The sequence below is a fragment of the Homo sapiens genome, chromosome 11 (genome assembly GCF_000001405.40).
Source record: "Homo sapiens chromosome 11, GRCh38.p14 Primary Assembly".
Lineage (NCBI taxonomy): Eukaryota > Metazoa > Chordata > Mammalia > Primates > Hominidae > Homo > Homo sapiens.
In genome coordinates, this window is record NC_000011.10 from 56,399,316 (window position 1) to 56,414,709 (window position 15,394).

Sequence of the window (15,394 nt, forward strand, 5' to 3'; positions counted from 1 at the left end):
TATTTACTAGTGAAAATACACTGTAGCATAATAAACTACTGGTATAATAACATCAGCTCCCTTGCATGGAAAACCTTTAATAGAACCAGAAAACATGCATTAAAAATGACAATGGAATGAAATCCCTTTATAAATGTTTAAATGGTCCATCTGGTAGCCAATTGTATCTGAAGCTTTGATTGTCTTCCCAGGAATATGGAACCAAACATTGGTTTTAAACTATTTTTGCAATTTATAAGTCACCACATCAATATATTTAATTTAGATTATTTTGTCTTTCCCATGACGAGTTACGGAAGGTAGAACCTTTAACAACAAAAGCTTGAAGGGCTCAGGAAGGACAAGTAGGCCATCCTGGTTCTTCATGAATCCATGCTTAACAGTGGACTCATGTCCTCTTGAATACCAGTTGTTTCTCCAATTTAGGTGCATAGCACTGATAACTAATGGGTTATCATAATCTGACTTAGACCATGGAGTTCAATTACATTGTATATTTAAACAATTTTAGTATTGACTGATTTAGCATGATAATCTAGAGCTTGATTTTGAAAGGTTTGGTCAATACCAAAGGTTTAAAACATTGGATATTACAAAATAGAATCTTAGGTTACATAAGTCATTCATTTAGCCAAAATAATAACACAAAAATGTTTTAAAGGATGAAACATTATTCTGATACATAGGAGACTCAGCTTTCCAAACAAGACAATGAAGACAGCATGAGGACAACTGACCCTGTCTCCCTTCTTTCCTTCCCCCACCTTTTCTCTTTTGTAGTTTACTTAGAAGGTAAACAAAAACATTTCATTATCTTTTAATATTACATTTCTCTTTTAAAAGAGAAAACCAGATTTTATGTTTCCATTAGTGTATTTTTAATGTTTAAGTCAGTTTTTAATAACATTTTATAAATCTATTCAGTTTTAATTATTTTGGCCATAATGTAAGATTTTTATAAACCTTTTATAACCCCTTCACATTTTGTTTTCCTCAGAGCAGAGCAATGTTCTAAAAAAACTCTGTTGTGCTTCTATTCTAATGCTTAATTCATGGGAAAAAAAACTGAATAATGCCATTTTAACTTTAGCCAATATGTTCACACATAGAATCTCTTATAATTACTTTCCATAAACTTTTAACAACTTGTTCAAACCTTTAGCTTAATTTTTTAAAACAATATTTTAATTCTCTAATCTAGGCAGAAATTTACATTTTTAATTTTTTAATTTTATAATGTTTGAATTTTTGAGAAAAGCATTGCCTGTGGCAGGGTGGGAAAGACAAAATGTTCAGAGAGGCCAGAGAAAGACCCATCCATTTGCAGCGACAGTGAAATTGTGGCTGCTGTTGTGAAGGAATTTTTTTTCCAGAAGTCCCATTAGCTCTTAAGTTTCCCCTTTTGAGGGAGAAAAAAGCTCCCCATGTCCCAAGATCCTGCATGCTTAATCCTGTCACTCATAGCTGTCAGCAAAAAGTGCAAGGCAGATTATTCCAAAGAGAATAGCAGTTGACATCCCGTAGTGCCAAACCCGTTCTTAGCCAAAAAGGACTTTACTGAGGCCCTCATTTTTTTTGGTGGGGGCAGCTGGTGGAGGAGACAGAGTCTCTCTCTGTTGCCCTGGCTGGAGTCAGTGGCACGATCTCGGCTCACTGCAACCTCTGCCTCCCGGGTTCAAGCAATTCTCCTGCTTCAGCCTCTGGAGCAGCTGGGACTACAGGCGTGCACCACCACACCCAGCTAATTGTTGTATTGTTAGTAGAGATGGGGTTTTGGGTCCAAAATTGGTGGGTTCTTGGTCTCACTGACTTCAAGAATGAAGCCGCGGACCCTCGCGGTGAGTGTTACAGCTTTTAAGGTGGCGCCTCTGGAGTTTGTTCCTTCTGATGTTTGGATGTGTTCGGAGTTTCTTCCTTCTGGTGGGTTCGTGGTCTCGCTGGCTGAGGAGTGAAGCTGCAGACCTTTGCGGTGAGTGTTGCAGCTCATAAAAGCAGTGTGGACCCAAAAAGTGAGCAGTAGCAAGATTTATTGCAAAGAGTGAAAGAACAAAGTTTCCACAGTCTGGAAGGGGACCCCAGCGGGTAGCCACTGCTGGCTGGGACAGCCTGCTTTTATTCTCTTATCTGGCCCCACCCACATCCTGCTGATTGGTAGAGCCCAGTGGTCTGTTTTGACAGGGTACTGATTGGTGCGTTTACAATCCCTGAGCTACACATAAAGGTTCTCCAAGGCCCCACCAGAGTAGCTAGATACAGAGTGTCAATTGGTGCATTCACAAACCCTGAGCTACACACAGGGTGCTGATTGGTGTATTTATAATCCCTGAGCTAGACATAAATGTTCTCCAAGGCTCCACCAGAGTAGCTAGATACAGAGTGTCCATTGGTGCATTCACAAACCCTGAGCTAGACACAGGGTGCTGATTGGTGTGTTTACAAACCTTGAGCTAGATACAGAGTGCCAATTGGTGTATTTACAATCCCGAGCTAGACATAAAGGTTCTCCAAGGCCCCACCAGACTCAGCAGCCCAGGTGGCTTCACCCAGTGGATCCTGCACCGGGGCTGCAGGTGGAGCTGCCTGCCAGTCCTGCACCGTGTGCCCGCACTCCTCAGCCCTTGGGTGGTCGATGGGACTGGGTGCCGTGGAGCAGGGGGCGGCGCTCATCGGGGAGGCTGGGGCAGCACAGGAGCCCACGGAGGGGGTGGGAGGCTCAGGCATGGCGGGCTGCAGGTCCCGAGCCCTGCCCCGCAGGAAGGGAGCTAAGGCCCGCGAGAAATCGAAAGCAGAGCTAGTGGGCTGGCACTGCTTGGGGACCCAGTATACCCTCCGCAGCCGCTGGCCTGGGTGCTAAGCCCCTTATTGCCCAGGGCCAGCAGGGCCAGCCAGCTGCTCCGAGTGGGGGGCCCGCCAAGCCCACTCCCACCCAGAACTCCAGTTGGCCCCCAAGCCCAGCGTGCAGCCCTGGTTCCCGCTCGTGCCTCTCCCTCCACACATCCCTGCAAGCTGAGGGAGCCGGCTCCTGTCTTGGCCAACCCCGAAAGGGGCTACCACAGTGCAGTGGTGGGCTGAAGTGCTCCTCAAGTGCCGCCAATGTGGGAGCCCAGGCAGAGGAGGTGCCAAGAGCGAACGAGGGCTGTGAGGACTGCCAGCATGCTGTCACCTCCCAGTTTCACCATATTGGCCAGTCTGGTCTCAAACTCCTGACCTCGTGATCCACCCGCCTTGGACTCACAAAGCGCTGGGATTACAGGCTTGAGCCACCGCGTCCGGCGAGAGCCCTCATTTTTAAATGTACTTCAATGCATTGTTGTTCATTAGGAATGTTCCACTTTAAGTTATCTTTAGTAAGATTTTGCTGTTTCTCTAAGACTTCTCTGCCTCCCAGGCTTAAAATATAAGCCAAAAGTTTTAAGGTTATACTCAGTTTCTATAAATTTCAGAAAACCGAGAAATTTCTCAGTTTTCCAGAAATTAAGGATCTCATTTTTACCTAAAACATTGGCTTTACTCTCAGTTTCTCTTGATTAACTTAACCAACAATTTTTTCCCCAACTAAGCGCGCTAGAAAAGTGAAACAAAGGGGTAGAACACAAAAATCCCTGTGAATTTTCAAATCCAAATTTTATAACCCCTGCAATATTACTGCTTATTACCAGTTCCTTTCTGACCCAGTGAGATGTAAGAGGCCTGTAACTGGATCCAAGCCAGTTAATTCCCAGATCAAATCCGTTCTTAGACACAGTCCAGTTTCTGTTGCGACTCCAAACCCAGTTTGGATCAGACGTTTGCTGAAAGTAACTTGGAGAGCTCAAAACACAAATCCGTGGAGTTCCAAGACCCAAAAGGGAGCTTACCCATGATCCCCAGCGGCTCTGAGAGACAAGGGACACAAGTGGATCCTGCAGGTTCCTTGCTGTTCACTCAGCACTCCTGCGGGTCGCTAGAAGCTCCACTTTGGTTCCCGCTTCTGACGCCATCTGATAAAAGAAAAACTTCAACCAAATTAAATCTAAAGAAATTTAATTGAGCAATGAACGATTTGTGAATCTAGCAGCCCCCAGAATCCCAGCAGATTCACAGAGACTCCAAGGGTGCCTCGTGGTCAGAACAAATTTGTAGACAACAAAGGTAAAGTGATGTACAGGAATCGAAAGTGAGGTATAGAAACAGTGAGATTGGTTATAGCTCCGCATTTGCCTTATTTGAAGGCAGTTTTAAAACTCAGCAGTCTATGAGTGGTTGAAGTATGGCCGCTGGGATTGGTCAACCCTCAGCTATTGTTACAGATGCATACTATTAAGTTAGGTTTTCAATTTTGTGTGACTATTAAACTAGGTTACAGTTCATCCACAAGGACTCAAATATAGAAGTACGGAGTCCTTCTCAGGACATATTTAGTTTGCTTTAACACTGCTTACTTAACTTGAAGCAAATGCACCCGGGAAACCACTGGACTCTGAATTTTTGTGGCTTTTCTTCTCCTACCATTTGATTTATATGTGTTACTAAGGCATTTAGAGATCTTGCCACTCAGAGTTCAACATTTACAATTAGCAAGATTCTATCAAAATGGTAAAACATCATGGTGTTTTGTGAAATAAACATCAAGGTGATTAAAACCTCCATTTGCAAAATTTTGAAACGGAAGAGTTCATATATCTTTAAGGAAGTTTGCTATACAGTATCATATTTTTTTCAGAGAAACCAAGGCCAAGAAAATTATTTAATATACAGAATAAAACATCTCGTGTCAAACTCGGAAAAAAAATCATTCTAAGACTTATACTTTGGATAAATCATTTATAATTGCGAGATAAAAATAAAATTTAATAAATTCTGGTTATAAGAAAATAAGTTGGCTTATACCACTAAATATTGTGATTATAAAGCAGTTAAACTTTATTGATTCATATTAGCCAAGTTAAGTCATTATAGTAAGCCTGTGTGGTGGGAATTATCCCAATTTTGTAAATGAATCGTAAAGGAAATGAATGTCTTGCTTGCAAACAGGCATCTTATATAAAGCAAAATCAGGATTAGGAGCTAAATGTTTCTGAATTGAAAATTCTTTTTTACTCTTGGATATTAACAAATGATCCATGGTCTCATCTGTTTTTTTTATTTTTTTTAAGTGCCTTGAGGCAGATTCAGGATCATGGTTGTTGTAGATTATTGCCAAATGGTCCACAATGAACACAATGAATCCCTTTGTCCACATGAATACTTGCATACTCCACTTCCCTATGAACTCTGGCCTTGTAACTTGCGTTATATAATAGAAAGCGCAAAAGTATATTGTGCAACTTCTAAGGGTAGACCCTAAGGGTTTTGGAAGTGTCTGTATTTTCTTCATGGGAAGGTTTAATGTTAGAACCCAACTGCCATGTTGAAAGCCCAAGGCAGACCTATGGAGATGCTGCATGAATAAAAACAAAACATTCCAGCTGACAGCCTCACCAAAAGGCAGTCAGGTGACTGAGGTCATCTTAGAACTTACAGCTTTCTCACCGTCTCAGTTGCCACCACATGGAGAACAGTCTAGTTAGCACAATGGAATTCTAAGACATAACAAATCATTGCTCTAGGTCACTAAAGTCTGGACTAAATTTTTATTTAGCAATAGATGGCTGAACCAATAATGATGACATAAATAATTGTATTTTTAATTAAATTAACTTTAAGAAGAATTCCTAAAATTAGATATTGTGATTTTGACAGAAGTAAAAAAAATTTAAAAACTTTCTAAAATAGTTGAAGAACAGATTCTCAGAGGTTCTTACCCATGTATATGTAATTGTCTTTCAAGCTTCCTTGAGTTTCTTTCAAGACTCCAAGGAAAATGAGTAGTATAATCATCACAGATTAGTTAGACATAAAAATCCAGAAAAATATGGTGACTTCCACAAAATTTTTATTTAATATTTTTGTAGTTGCTTTCAATTCTGTTGGAGTCATATTATGAAAAATCAGAGCAATTATTCTAATAAAAAATTCACATTCAGTAAGACTAAATTTTTCTTCCTGTTTTTTTCTTTTGTAAAAATAAGTGATTTCCTATGATATTTTTTATCTATATGTCTTTCAATTTATCATTCTACATCCCTACGGGTGTGTGGAATGCAGATGAACAGAGTGTGTTAAGGGCTTGAAGAGATGAAGTATTAATTTCTTTGTTATCTTCGTGATTTTAAATGTTTTCCAAAAGACCTTAGGAAGCACAACGAAATTTCAAAGTTTTGAACACTTTGAACAGAACGTTCAGACAATAATGTTCAGAGATTGAACTAAATATACCTCCAGGACAATAAGGAATTTATGGATTGATTATTATTTGCTTACTGCTCAACAGGTTATTGAGTTTCAGATATAAGGGTGCATCTTTGGTACAATCCAAATCATTACTTTGTAGGCTTGTAAAGCTCAACTGCAAGATAACTAACTTTGATTGAGTGTATACCAGGACTACTTACTAAAATTTATAAATGTCATAAAGTCTAAAACAAAGTATAAAAAATAAATCAAAACATTTTGACTTGTTTCCCATATGTTAAAATAACCTTTGCTATCCATTATTAATTCTTTATTATACTTTAGTTCAGGATAGTAACCTGCCCTTTAAGTGGTTATTTTTTGCCTTTTAAACAAATTGGGTCCCAAAAGATCAACCATAACATAATTGCTCATGCTTGTGAAACATCATTGTGTCTTTGGTTCAGAATTGTTAAAAATGATGTAATTCAATGAGAATATTCTAGAGGAACCAACAGATTATACAAAATATATTCACAACACTTAAGTAATGTTAAGTATTGTTGACCTTCACAGAATTTGCCTAAGGATACATTGGAATCTTTTTGGTTGTTGTGCATTACTCAAAAGCAAGATGTAGTGGGAAAGAAATCAAGGTAATTGAGGTAGAAAAATGGGGTTTCAGGTAACACAAACTTTGTATTCATTTGTTCGTTTATTCTACTATTATTTAAAGTGTCTAGTAATTGCTGAGTCCTGCTAAGTATTGGGGAAAATATAAATCTTTGCTTATCGAGAATTAAACAATTTAAAGTAGCTTACAAACAAATTAAGAGGTGACTAGATTGTTGGAGGTAATAATCGGGAGATAATAAAACACCTCTAGAATGAAGTAAAATTTCACCTCAGATTTGACAAGTGGAAAGATAGTAGCCAGCCAGAGGAACAAAGATATAAAGGAAGGAGTATTCTGGCCAAACTATGTTCAAAGTCCATGGTCACATCTGAGAAACTGATGGTATGCAACATGGTTGGTGCATGGGGATTGCATAAAGGAAATTGCAAGAAAGGAGACTAGTTTACAAAGAAGGGTTTATTTAGGAAAGCTTTAATAAACCAGGTTAAGAAGTTTGGGCTGTAGTCCAAAGCTAATGGGAAACAGAAAGCTAAGATTTGCATGTTAGAACGTACCCTCAAGGTGCCACATGGATATAGGGTGGCAAAACTGCCTGGAAGATAACAGTTAGAGGGTAACAATCCCCAGCAGTTATTTGAGGCTCTAATAAGGAAAATATGGAGGATATTAGAAGTAGACAGACTTCAAAATCTAGATTAAATCAGTAGCATTCACTTATGGTTTATTAGTGGACATTAGAGGGACATATGAATTTTTGTTTTTGTTTTTGTTTTTAAACTGCATGGCAGATGGCACCATTTAGTGAGTTATAAAATATATACTCAGAGGCATGTGAGTGGGGTTGGGTGGCTTTTGAACTGATGAATCCTCCTTGAACATGTTAAATTTAGGTACATCTGGAATATGTAATAGAATCTGTCTGAAAAGCAAGTAGATATGTGTACAAAGGGTTCAAAGGAGAAATGTGACCTGGAGATCTAGACATCTGCATCGCCAGCACATCAATAGCAATGATACCCATAGCATCGGATGATAGCTTCCAACAAGAATATGCAAAAAAGACATGGTTTGGCTTAGGAAATAACTGTAAAGTAATAGGGTTATTTAAATCATAAACAAAGAAGTACAGCCATCAAGGGAAGTACAAAGTAGACACAAAGATGGGAAAACCAAGAGACTCTGATGGCTTGGAAAGCAACAAAATAATGGTTTTCATGATGAAAGGTGATACTAGTGGTGTCTGATGCTACAGAGAAGTGAAATTTTTAAATCTTCATTGGATTTGGGAGAAAAGAGAATGTTGGTGAATTTGGAGAGAGTAATTGCATTGCAATGCTAAGAAAAAAATATCTAAATACAAGAGATTGATGTACAAACGTGAAGGATGCAGTGAGCATTGGTAACTTTTTCTGGTACTAAAAGAATGAAGATAAGAATAAAGGTAAAGGAATAAAGGTGGAGGAGTAGTAGATTGATGGGAGAGATTTAATAGATTAGCAGAGGAAGGAGACGTGGAAGGCCAAAGAGAATGGAACCAAAATATAAATTTAGGTATAAGAAATAGGAGACCTCCCCAATCCCCCACCCCCACAAAAACATGTAATACGAATAGATGTGGAAGCAGGTAGTTTCACACAACTGGTGACAAGAAGTAGAGAAATTTATATTTTAGTATTTTAATTCCCATTTTAAATATCAAAAAGTTTAGCATCTGCTTAGCATATGTGGTAGGAGTAGTACTGCTTAGCATGTGTGGTAGGAGTAGCATGGATAGAATTGAAAGGGTTGAAATAGCAACATGCAGATTGGGAGAAAGCCCTTGGTTAAGGAAAAGTCAGTCAAGTAAATAAGTAGCTGATTTTGAATATAAGTTTGTAATAGTTCACTTTTTCTTAACTGTTGTTCTTGATAGCTCAGATTTCATTGTGAAGACAACATTACAAAATACCCAGATTTGGGTATACCTAAAAAAATGTTGGTTGTTGGGAAGCGTAGTTGAAGCAATACGTCATGGAGACTAAGCTGTATAGGAGAAGAATTGAAAAAATAAAGTGACAAAATAAATGAGTATTTTAAGATGTTTAAGGAATAGTGATATGTGTGAATAAGTGAAGACCTGTAGTCATAACTGAGGTGAAAAGGGGAGGGTAGAAGTTTGTGATCATAAGAAAATGTTTAAGTTTTGGATATCTAGCATTTGGTAAACTTGTAGACAAATAATTTTAAACATGGAACCATGGGGGTGGAAAGCTGAAGTGGAATGGTGCTGGGGTCACTGATAAAAATAATCAATAATCAGAAAAGCCGTATGTTAAATGTGTCAAGTTCATGGGAACTAATGACAACTTTGTGACAGGACAGTGATCTTGGTGTCAACATTCTCAATAAATAACAAGGACTGACCTGGAAATACATAAGTGACTGTTAACATTTGTCTCTGTGTCGCCACCCAAATCTCATCTTGAATTGTAATCCTCATAATCCCCACGTGTCAAGGGAGGAACCTAGTGGGAGGTAATTGAATCATGGGTTGAATGAATCATGGGTTGAATGATGATTCAATCCACGATGGTTTCCCCAATGTGGTTCACATGATAGTAAGTGAGTTTTCATGAAATCTGATAGTTTCCTAAGTGTTTGACAGTTTCTCCTTTGCATACACCCTCTCTCCTGCCACCTTGTTAAGATACCTACTTCCACTTCTGCCATGATTGCAAGTTTCCTGAGGCCTCTCAGCCATGCAGAACTGTGAATCAATTAAATCACCTTGGTTTATAAATTACCCAGTCTCGAGTAGTATCTTTATAGCAGTAAGAACAGACTAATACAGTAAATTGATGCCAGGAGTGGGTTACTACTGTAAAGATACTCGAAGAATGTGGAAGCGACATTGGAACTGGGTAATGGCCAGAGGTTGGAACAGTTTGGAGAGCTCAGAAGAAGGAAGAAAGATATGGAAAAGTTTGGAGCTTCCACTTGTTGAATGTTTTTGACCAAAATGCTGATAGTTATGTGAACAATGAAGTCCAGGATGAATTGGTCTCAGATGGAGATGAGGAATTTATTGGGAACTAGAGTAAAGGTCACTCATGCTATGCTTTAACAAAGAAACTGGTGGCATTTTTTTTTCCCTGCCCTGGAGATCTGTGGAACCTCAGACTTGAGAGGTGATTTAGGGTATCTGGCAGAAGAAATTTCTAAGCAGCAAAACATTCAAGACAAGACCTGGATTATTATGAAACCATTCAGTTTTATGCATTTACAAAGATATGGTTTCAAATTGGAACTTTTATTCAAAAGGGAAGCAGAGCACACAAGCTGAGAAAATCTGCAGCCTGATGATATGGTAGAATAGAAAAACCCATTTTCTGGGCAGGAATTCAAACTGGCTGCAGAAATTTGCATAAATAATGAGGAGCCTAATGTTAATCATAAAGACAACGGGAGAAATGTCTCCAGGCCATGTCAGAGACCTTCACAGAAATTCCTCCCATCACAGACTCAGAGTCCTAAGAGAGAAAAATGGTTTTGTGGGCCAGACCCAGGGCCCCACTGTGCTCGGTGCAGCCTTGAGACTTGGTACCTTATGTCCCAGCCATGGCTAAAAGGGGCCAACATACAGATTAGGCCATTGCTTCAGAAGCTGCAAGCCCCAAGCCTTGGCAGCTTCCAAGTGGTGTTGGGCCTATGGGTGAGCAGAAGTCAAGAATTCAGGTTTGGGAGCCTCCAATTAGATTTCAGAGGAGGTATGGAAATGCCTGGCTGTCCAAGCAAAAGTTTGCTGTTGGGGGTGTAGCCCTCATGGAGAACCTCTGCTAGGGCAGTGTGAAAGGAAAGTGTGGGTAGGAGCTCCCACACAGAGTCCCCACTGGAGCACTGCATAATGGAGCCCAGAGAAGAGGGCCATCATCCTCCAGACACCAGAATGGCAGATCTACTGACAGCTTGCACCATGCACCTAGAAAAGCTTCAGACACCCAACAGCAGCCCATGAAAGCAGCTGCGAGGGGGGCTGTACCCTGCAAAGCCACAGGGGTGGAGCTGCCCAAGACCATGGGAACCCACCTCTTGCATCAGCATGACATGGGTGTAAAACATGGAGCCAAAGATGTTAATTTGGAGCCTTAAGATTTAATGACTGCCTGCTGGATTTTGAGCTTGCATGGGGCCTGCAGCCCCTTTGTTTTGGTCAATTTTTCCCATTTGGAAAGTGTTTACCCAATGCCTGTACCCTCATTGTATCTTGAAAGAAACTAACTTGTTTTTGATTTTCCAGGCTCATAGGCAGAAGGGACTTTCTTTGTCTCAGATGATACTTGGACTGTACGATATTGAGTTAATGCTAAAATGAGTTACGACTTTGGGGGACTACTGGGAAATCATGATTGGTTTTGCAATGTGAAAGTACATGAGATTTGGGAGGGGTCGGGGCAGAATTATATGGTTTGAGTCTGTGTCCCCACCCAAATCTCATCTCATATTGTAATACACATAATCCCCACATGTCAAGGGAGGGACCTAGTGGGAGTTTATCGGACCATGGGTGTGGTTTCCCCCATACTGTTTTCATGATAGTGAGTTAGTTCTCGCAAGATCTTATGGTTTCATAAGTGTTTGACAGCTCCTCCTTTGCATGTACATTCTCTCCTGCTGCCTTGTAAAGAAAGTGCCTGCTTCCTCTTCCACCATCATTGTAAATTACCCAGTCTTGAGTAGTATCTTTACAGCAATGTGAGAATGGACTAATACAGTGACAAAGCATATAAGTGTGTAAGCTTCAAAGCATCAAGGGAGTTGACACAAATGCAAGATATAATTATCAATATGCAGCAATTTTCCAAGCATCAGCAATGCCTTATCCCACCTGCCATATTTGAAATGTGTGGAGAATTTTAAATTGAGCATAGAAATGTCCTGAGGAAAAACAGATTTTCAAGGAGTAGCCAAGTTCTGTTTTAAGAAATGAGAAATCAAATGATTCAAGATGTTGGAGAGTCTGGTAATATCAGAGCAAAAGGCACACAGGTTTCAATTCAGCACAGCAATGTAAGCACTGAAAAGAGTAAGAGCCAGGAGAGGTAAGGATTAGAGATTACAATTTAGACAGGCAATGGAAGAACACTTCAAAATATTCCAAAAAAGATTAAGCTCCTACAATCATCAATATGAAGAGATTACTCACAGGCTTCTGCAGAGTAAGCCTCAATCTAAATAATATTAACGCTATCAAGAGCTAAAATTGATTTATTTGGCAAACAGTATGAGATAGTCACTACCTGAAGCACTTGGCATGGACGAATTCATTGATTGCTTTATCAAAGTTGCCTTGATCTCTTGTTGATGCAGAAATTTTTGCCTTTCTGATAATTTGCATCAACTATGGATTGAGGTTAGGGAGTCACAGACTAGGTAATGAGTTATTCTGCTTCACCTTATGCCAGTCATGAAGCATGAAGAGGGCTTAAGTTCTCAGCTTCAGTTTCTATATGTGAAAATAAAGATGATAGTCATAGGGCCATTATATAGGCTAGATGTAAAGATAATCTAAGCTAGAATAATAACAAAAAATTAAATTTATATCACTTCTGTTCAAGTGAAGATCATTAAATGCTGGCTACTTTTAATTAGCCAGGAACCAGGTTGTACTTTTACACACTCATTCTAGAATTGTTTACTTCTCCTGCTTTGCATCTGGATGTTTTAAGAAACATGACAAATGTGTTTTTTGGATCACTTAATGCATTTATAATGCTGTTATGAATATTTTTAAAAGCAAGTCTATTCACATTTTTAAGCATTTTTCTATCTTTAATTCACAAATAGTACATAGCAATTGAAGAAAAACTAAGAATTATTGATAGATAAAAGAAAAAGTAAAAATAAAAAAATAATTCTGAATGTATTATAAAGAGATTATTTGTACCCATAATTTTTTAGGAACTTTCGTATACCTACTGTGCAATATTTTTTTAAACTTATTATTTCGTGTGAATTAAAATTTTCCAGAAGAATTAGTACAATTTTATTTAAAGTGATCTAATTTTAAAAAATATTTTTTAATAGGGACAAGGTCTCATTACGTTGCCTTGGTTGTTCTTGAACTCCTGGGATCAAGTGATTCTCCTGCCTTGGCCTCTCAGAGTGTTGGGATACAGGTAGGTGTTAGCCACCATGTCCAGCCCCAGTAATTTTAAAATGCTTTTTGTTATCTGTGTTCAAATAACTCTCTATCTTGATTTTCTCTTATTAAAAGAAAGACATGACATAGATCATTCAATTATGTAAACCTTTAACATGTCATCTTTCTATCTTTACAAATCTCCACAGAAATGCATGTTTTGGAATTTCTACTTGGGACAAATTATTTTATTCAGAAAGCAGAACTAGCCTGAAGATGCTCCTTTCAATGTGTTCAACATAAGATCAGGGCGGGTCAGAATCATTTCCTAACATCTGCTTCATTATTTCCATTGGGAACACCATTACTCAGAATGTGTGCTCTAAAGGGTTTTCTGGAAGAAAACTTTTATACCTACTCAGTGGCCAAAGGCAATCATTCAACAGTGTATGAATTTATCCTCTTGGGGCTCACAGATAATGCAGAGCTTCAAGTCACTCTCTTTGGTATATTCCTTGTAGTATACTTAGCTAGCTTTATGGGTAATTTCGGTTTGATTATGCTAATTCAAATCAGTCCTCAGCTTCATACACCCATGTATTTTTTCCTCAGCCATCTGGCTTTTGTTGATTTTTCTTTTACTTCATCTGTTGCCCCAAATACCTTGGTAAATTTTCTGTGTGAAGTTAAAAGTATAACATTTTATGCATGTGCCATTCAGGTATGCTGCTTCATCACATTTGTAGTTTGTGAATTATATTTGCTCTCAATCATGGCATATGATCGGTATGTTGCCATCTGTAACCCTTTACTTTATGTCATTCTCATTCCTAGAAAACTGTATTAAACTGATTGCTAGCACGTATGTGTATGGATTCACTGTGGGACTTGTACAGACAGTGGCGACATCCTACTTGTCTTTTTGTGATTCCAACGTGATCAACCACTTCTACCATGATGATGTTCCATTAGTGGCTCTGGCCTGTTCTGACACTCATGTCAAAGAGCTGATGTTGTTAATCATTGCTGGGTTCAATACTCTCTGCTCTCTAGTAATTGTGCTGATTTCTTATGGTTTCATTTTCTTTGCCATCCTGAGGATACATTCTGCTGAAGGGAGACAGAAAGCATTTTCTACCAGTGCTTCCCATCTGACCTCCATCACAATATTTTATGGAACAATCATTTTTATGTACCCGCAGCCCAAGTCAAGCCATTCCCTGAATATGGATAAAGTTGCTTCTGTGTTTAATGTGGTAGTGATTCCTACATTAAACCCACTGATCTATAGTTTAAGAAATCAGGAGGTAAAAAATGCACTAAAGAGAATTATAGAAAAGTTATGTTTGGCTGTCAAATAACCTAAAAATCCCTAGACAGAGGCAAAACCCAGGACTTTGAGTTGTGTCTTATCTAGAGTCACATTGGTGGTAAATGACAGAGCCAAATTCCGTAGTTTGGCTACTCAACATCACTCAGGGTATGTTTCATCCACTGTGTCGTTTTCCATAGTTTCCACATAAAATGCATTTGGTAAATTTTATGTCATTGAATTGTAAAAGAAAAGGAAAGAGAGAGAGAGAGAGAGAGAGAGAGAGAATCTTACTCCTCTCTGAACAACACAGCTTCATCAATAATGAAATAAACAGCATGGGAAATAGCTGTTTTATTTAAATCATGTGTGATATTTGAATTATATTAAAGTTCAACATCTGTTATCTTACATTTCAAATTTGCTGCACAGATTATCTGGAAACAGTGTCAAAGTTTAAATAGCAAGGATACTTTTCTTGGTTTTAAGACTGGATAATTTCCTTAGCACTCTACTTTCTCTGCATTCTACTGGGAAGGGTAGCACCAGCAGAGTTACCATGAATTCCGTATCCATTTGGACCACTAGAGCCATTTCACACCATTATAATTCACTGCCTGCTCTATATAAGCATCTGATTAGTAACTGGACTCTTCAAATCTTCAAACAGTTTGACTAATAATTTTAGTTTCTGTGATAATCAACTGTTGTCATTGGTAAATTATTTCACATTTTGTACCTAGTTTCCTCATCTTCAAAATGCGCTTGTAGTTTCTTATCTCTTGGACTGATTGTGAAGATTAAATAACATTATAAATATAGAGCTTTGCAAAGTTCCTAGCACACAGCTGGTACTTCACATATGGTGTGTATTACACTTAATTATTGACATTGTTATTATACCAATTATTTCTCTTATTTGGCCTTGGATAGTAAGGTAATAAAGTTTGAGATAGCTGGCAATATGATATTCTTTATTTTAAAATCAACAAAAAGAAAATATAAAAGTTAAGGAGCTATTTTATTGTGGTGTTTTAAAATAAATTCTTTTAAATTTCATCGTGTGTGTGTATTG

At 38.5% G+C, this 15,394-nt stretch overlaps 1 pseudogene across 1 annotated transcript; it reads left to right on the top strand.

Annotated features, from left to right (window-relative positions):
* The first annotated feature begins 13,380 nt into the window (after positions 1-13,380).
* OR5AL1 (olfactory receptor family 5 subfamily AL member 1 (gene/pseudogene)) lies at positions 13,381-14,368 on the top strand (annotated as a pseudogene). Its single transcript, NR_145506.2, has one exon. The product of NR_145506.2 is annotated as an olfactory receptor family 5 subfamily AL member 1 (gene/pseudogene), transcript variant 1, noncoding (transcript).
* The last annotated feature ends 1,026 nt before the right edge of the window (positions 14,369-15,394 follow it).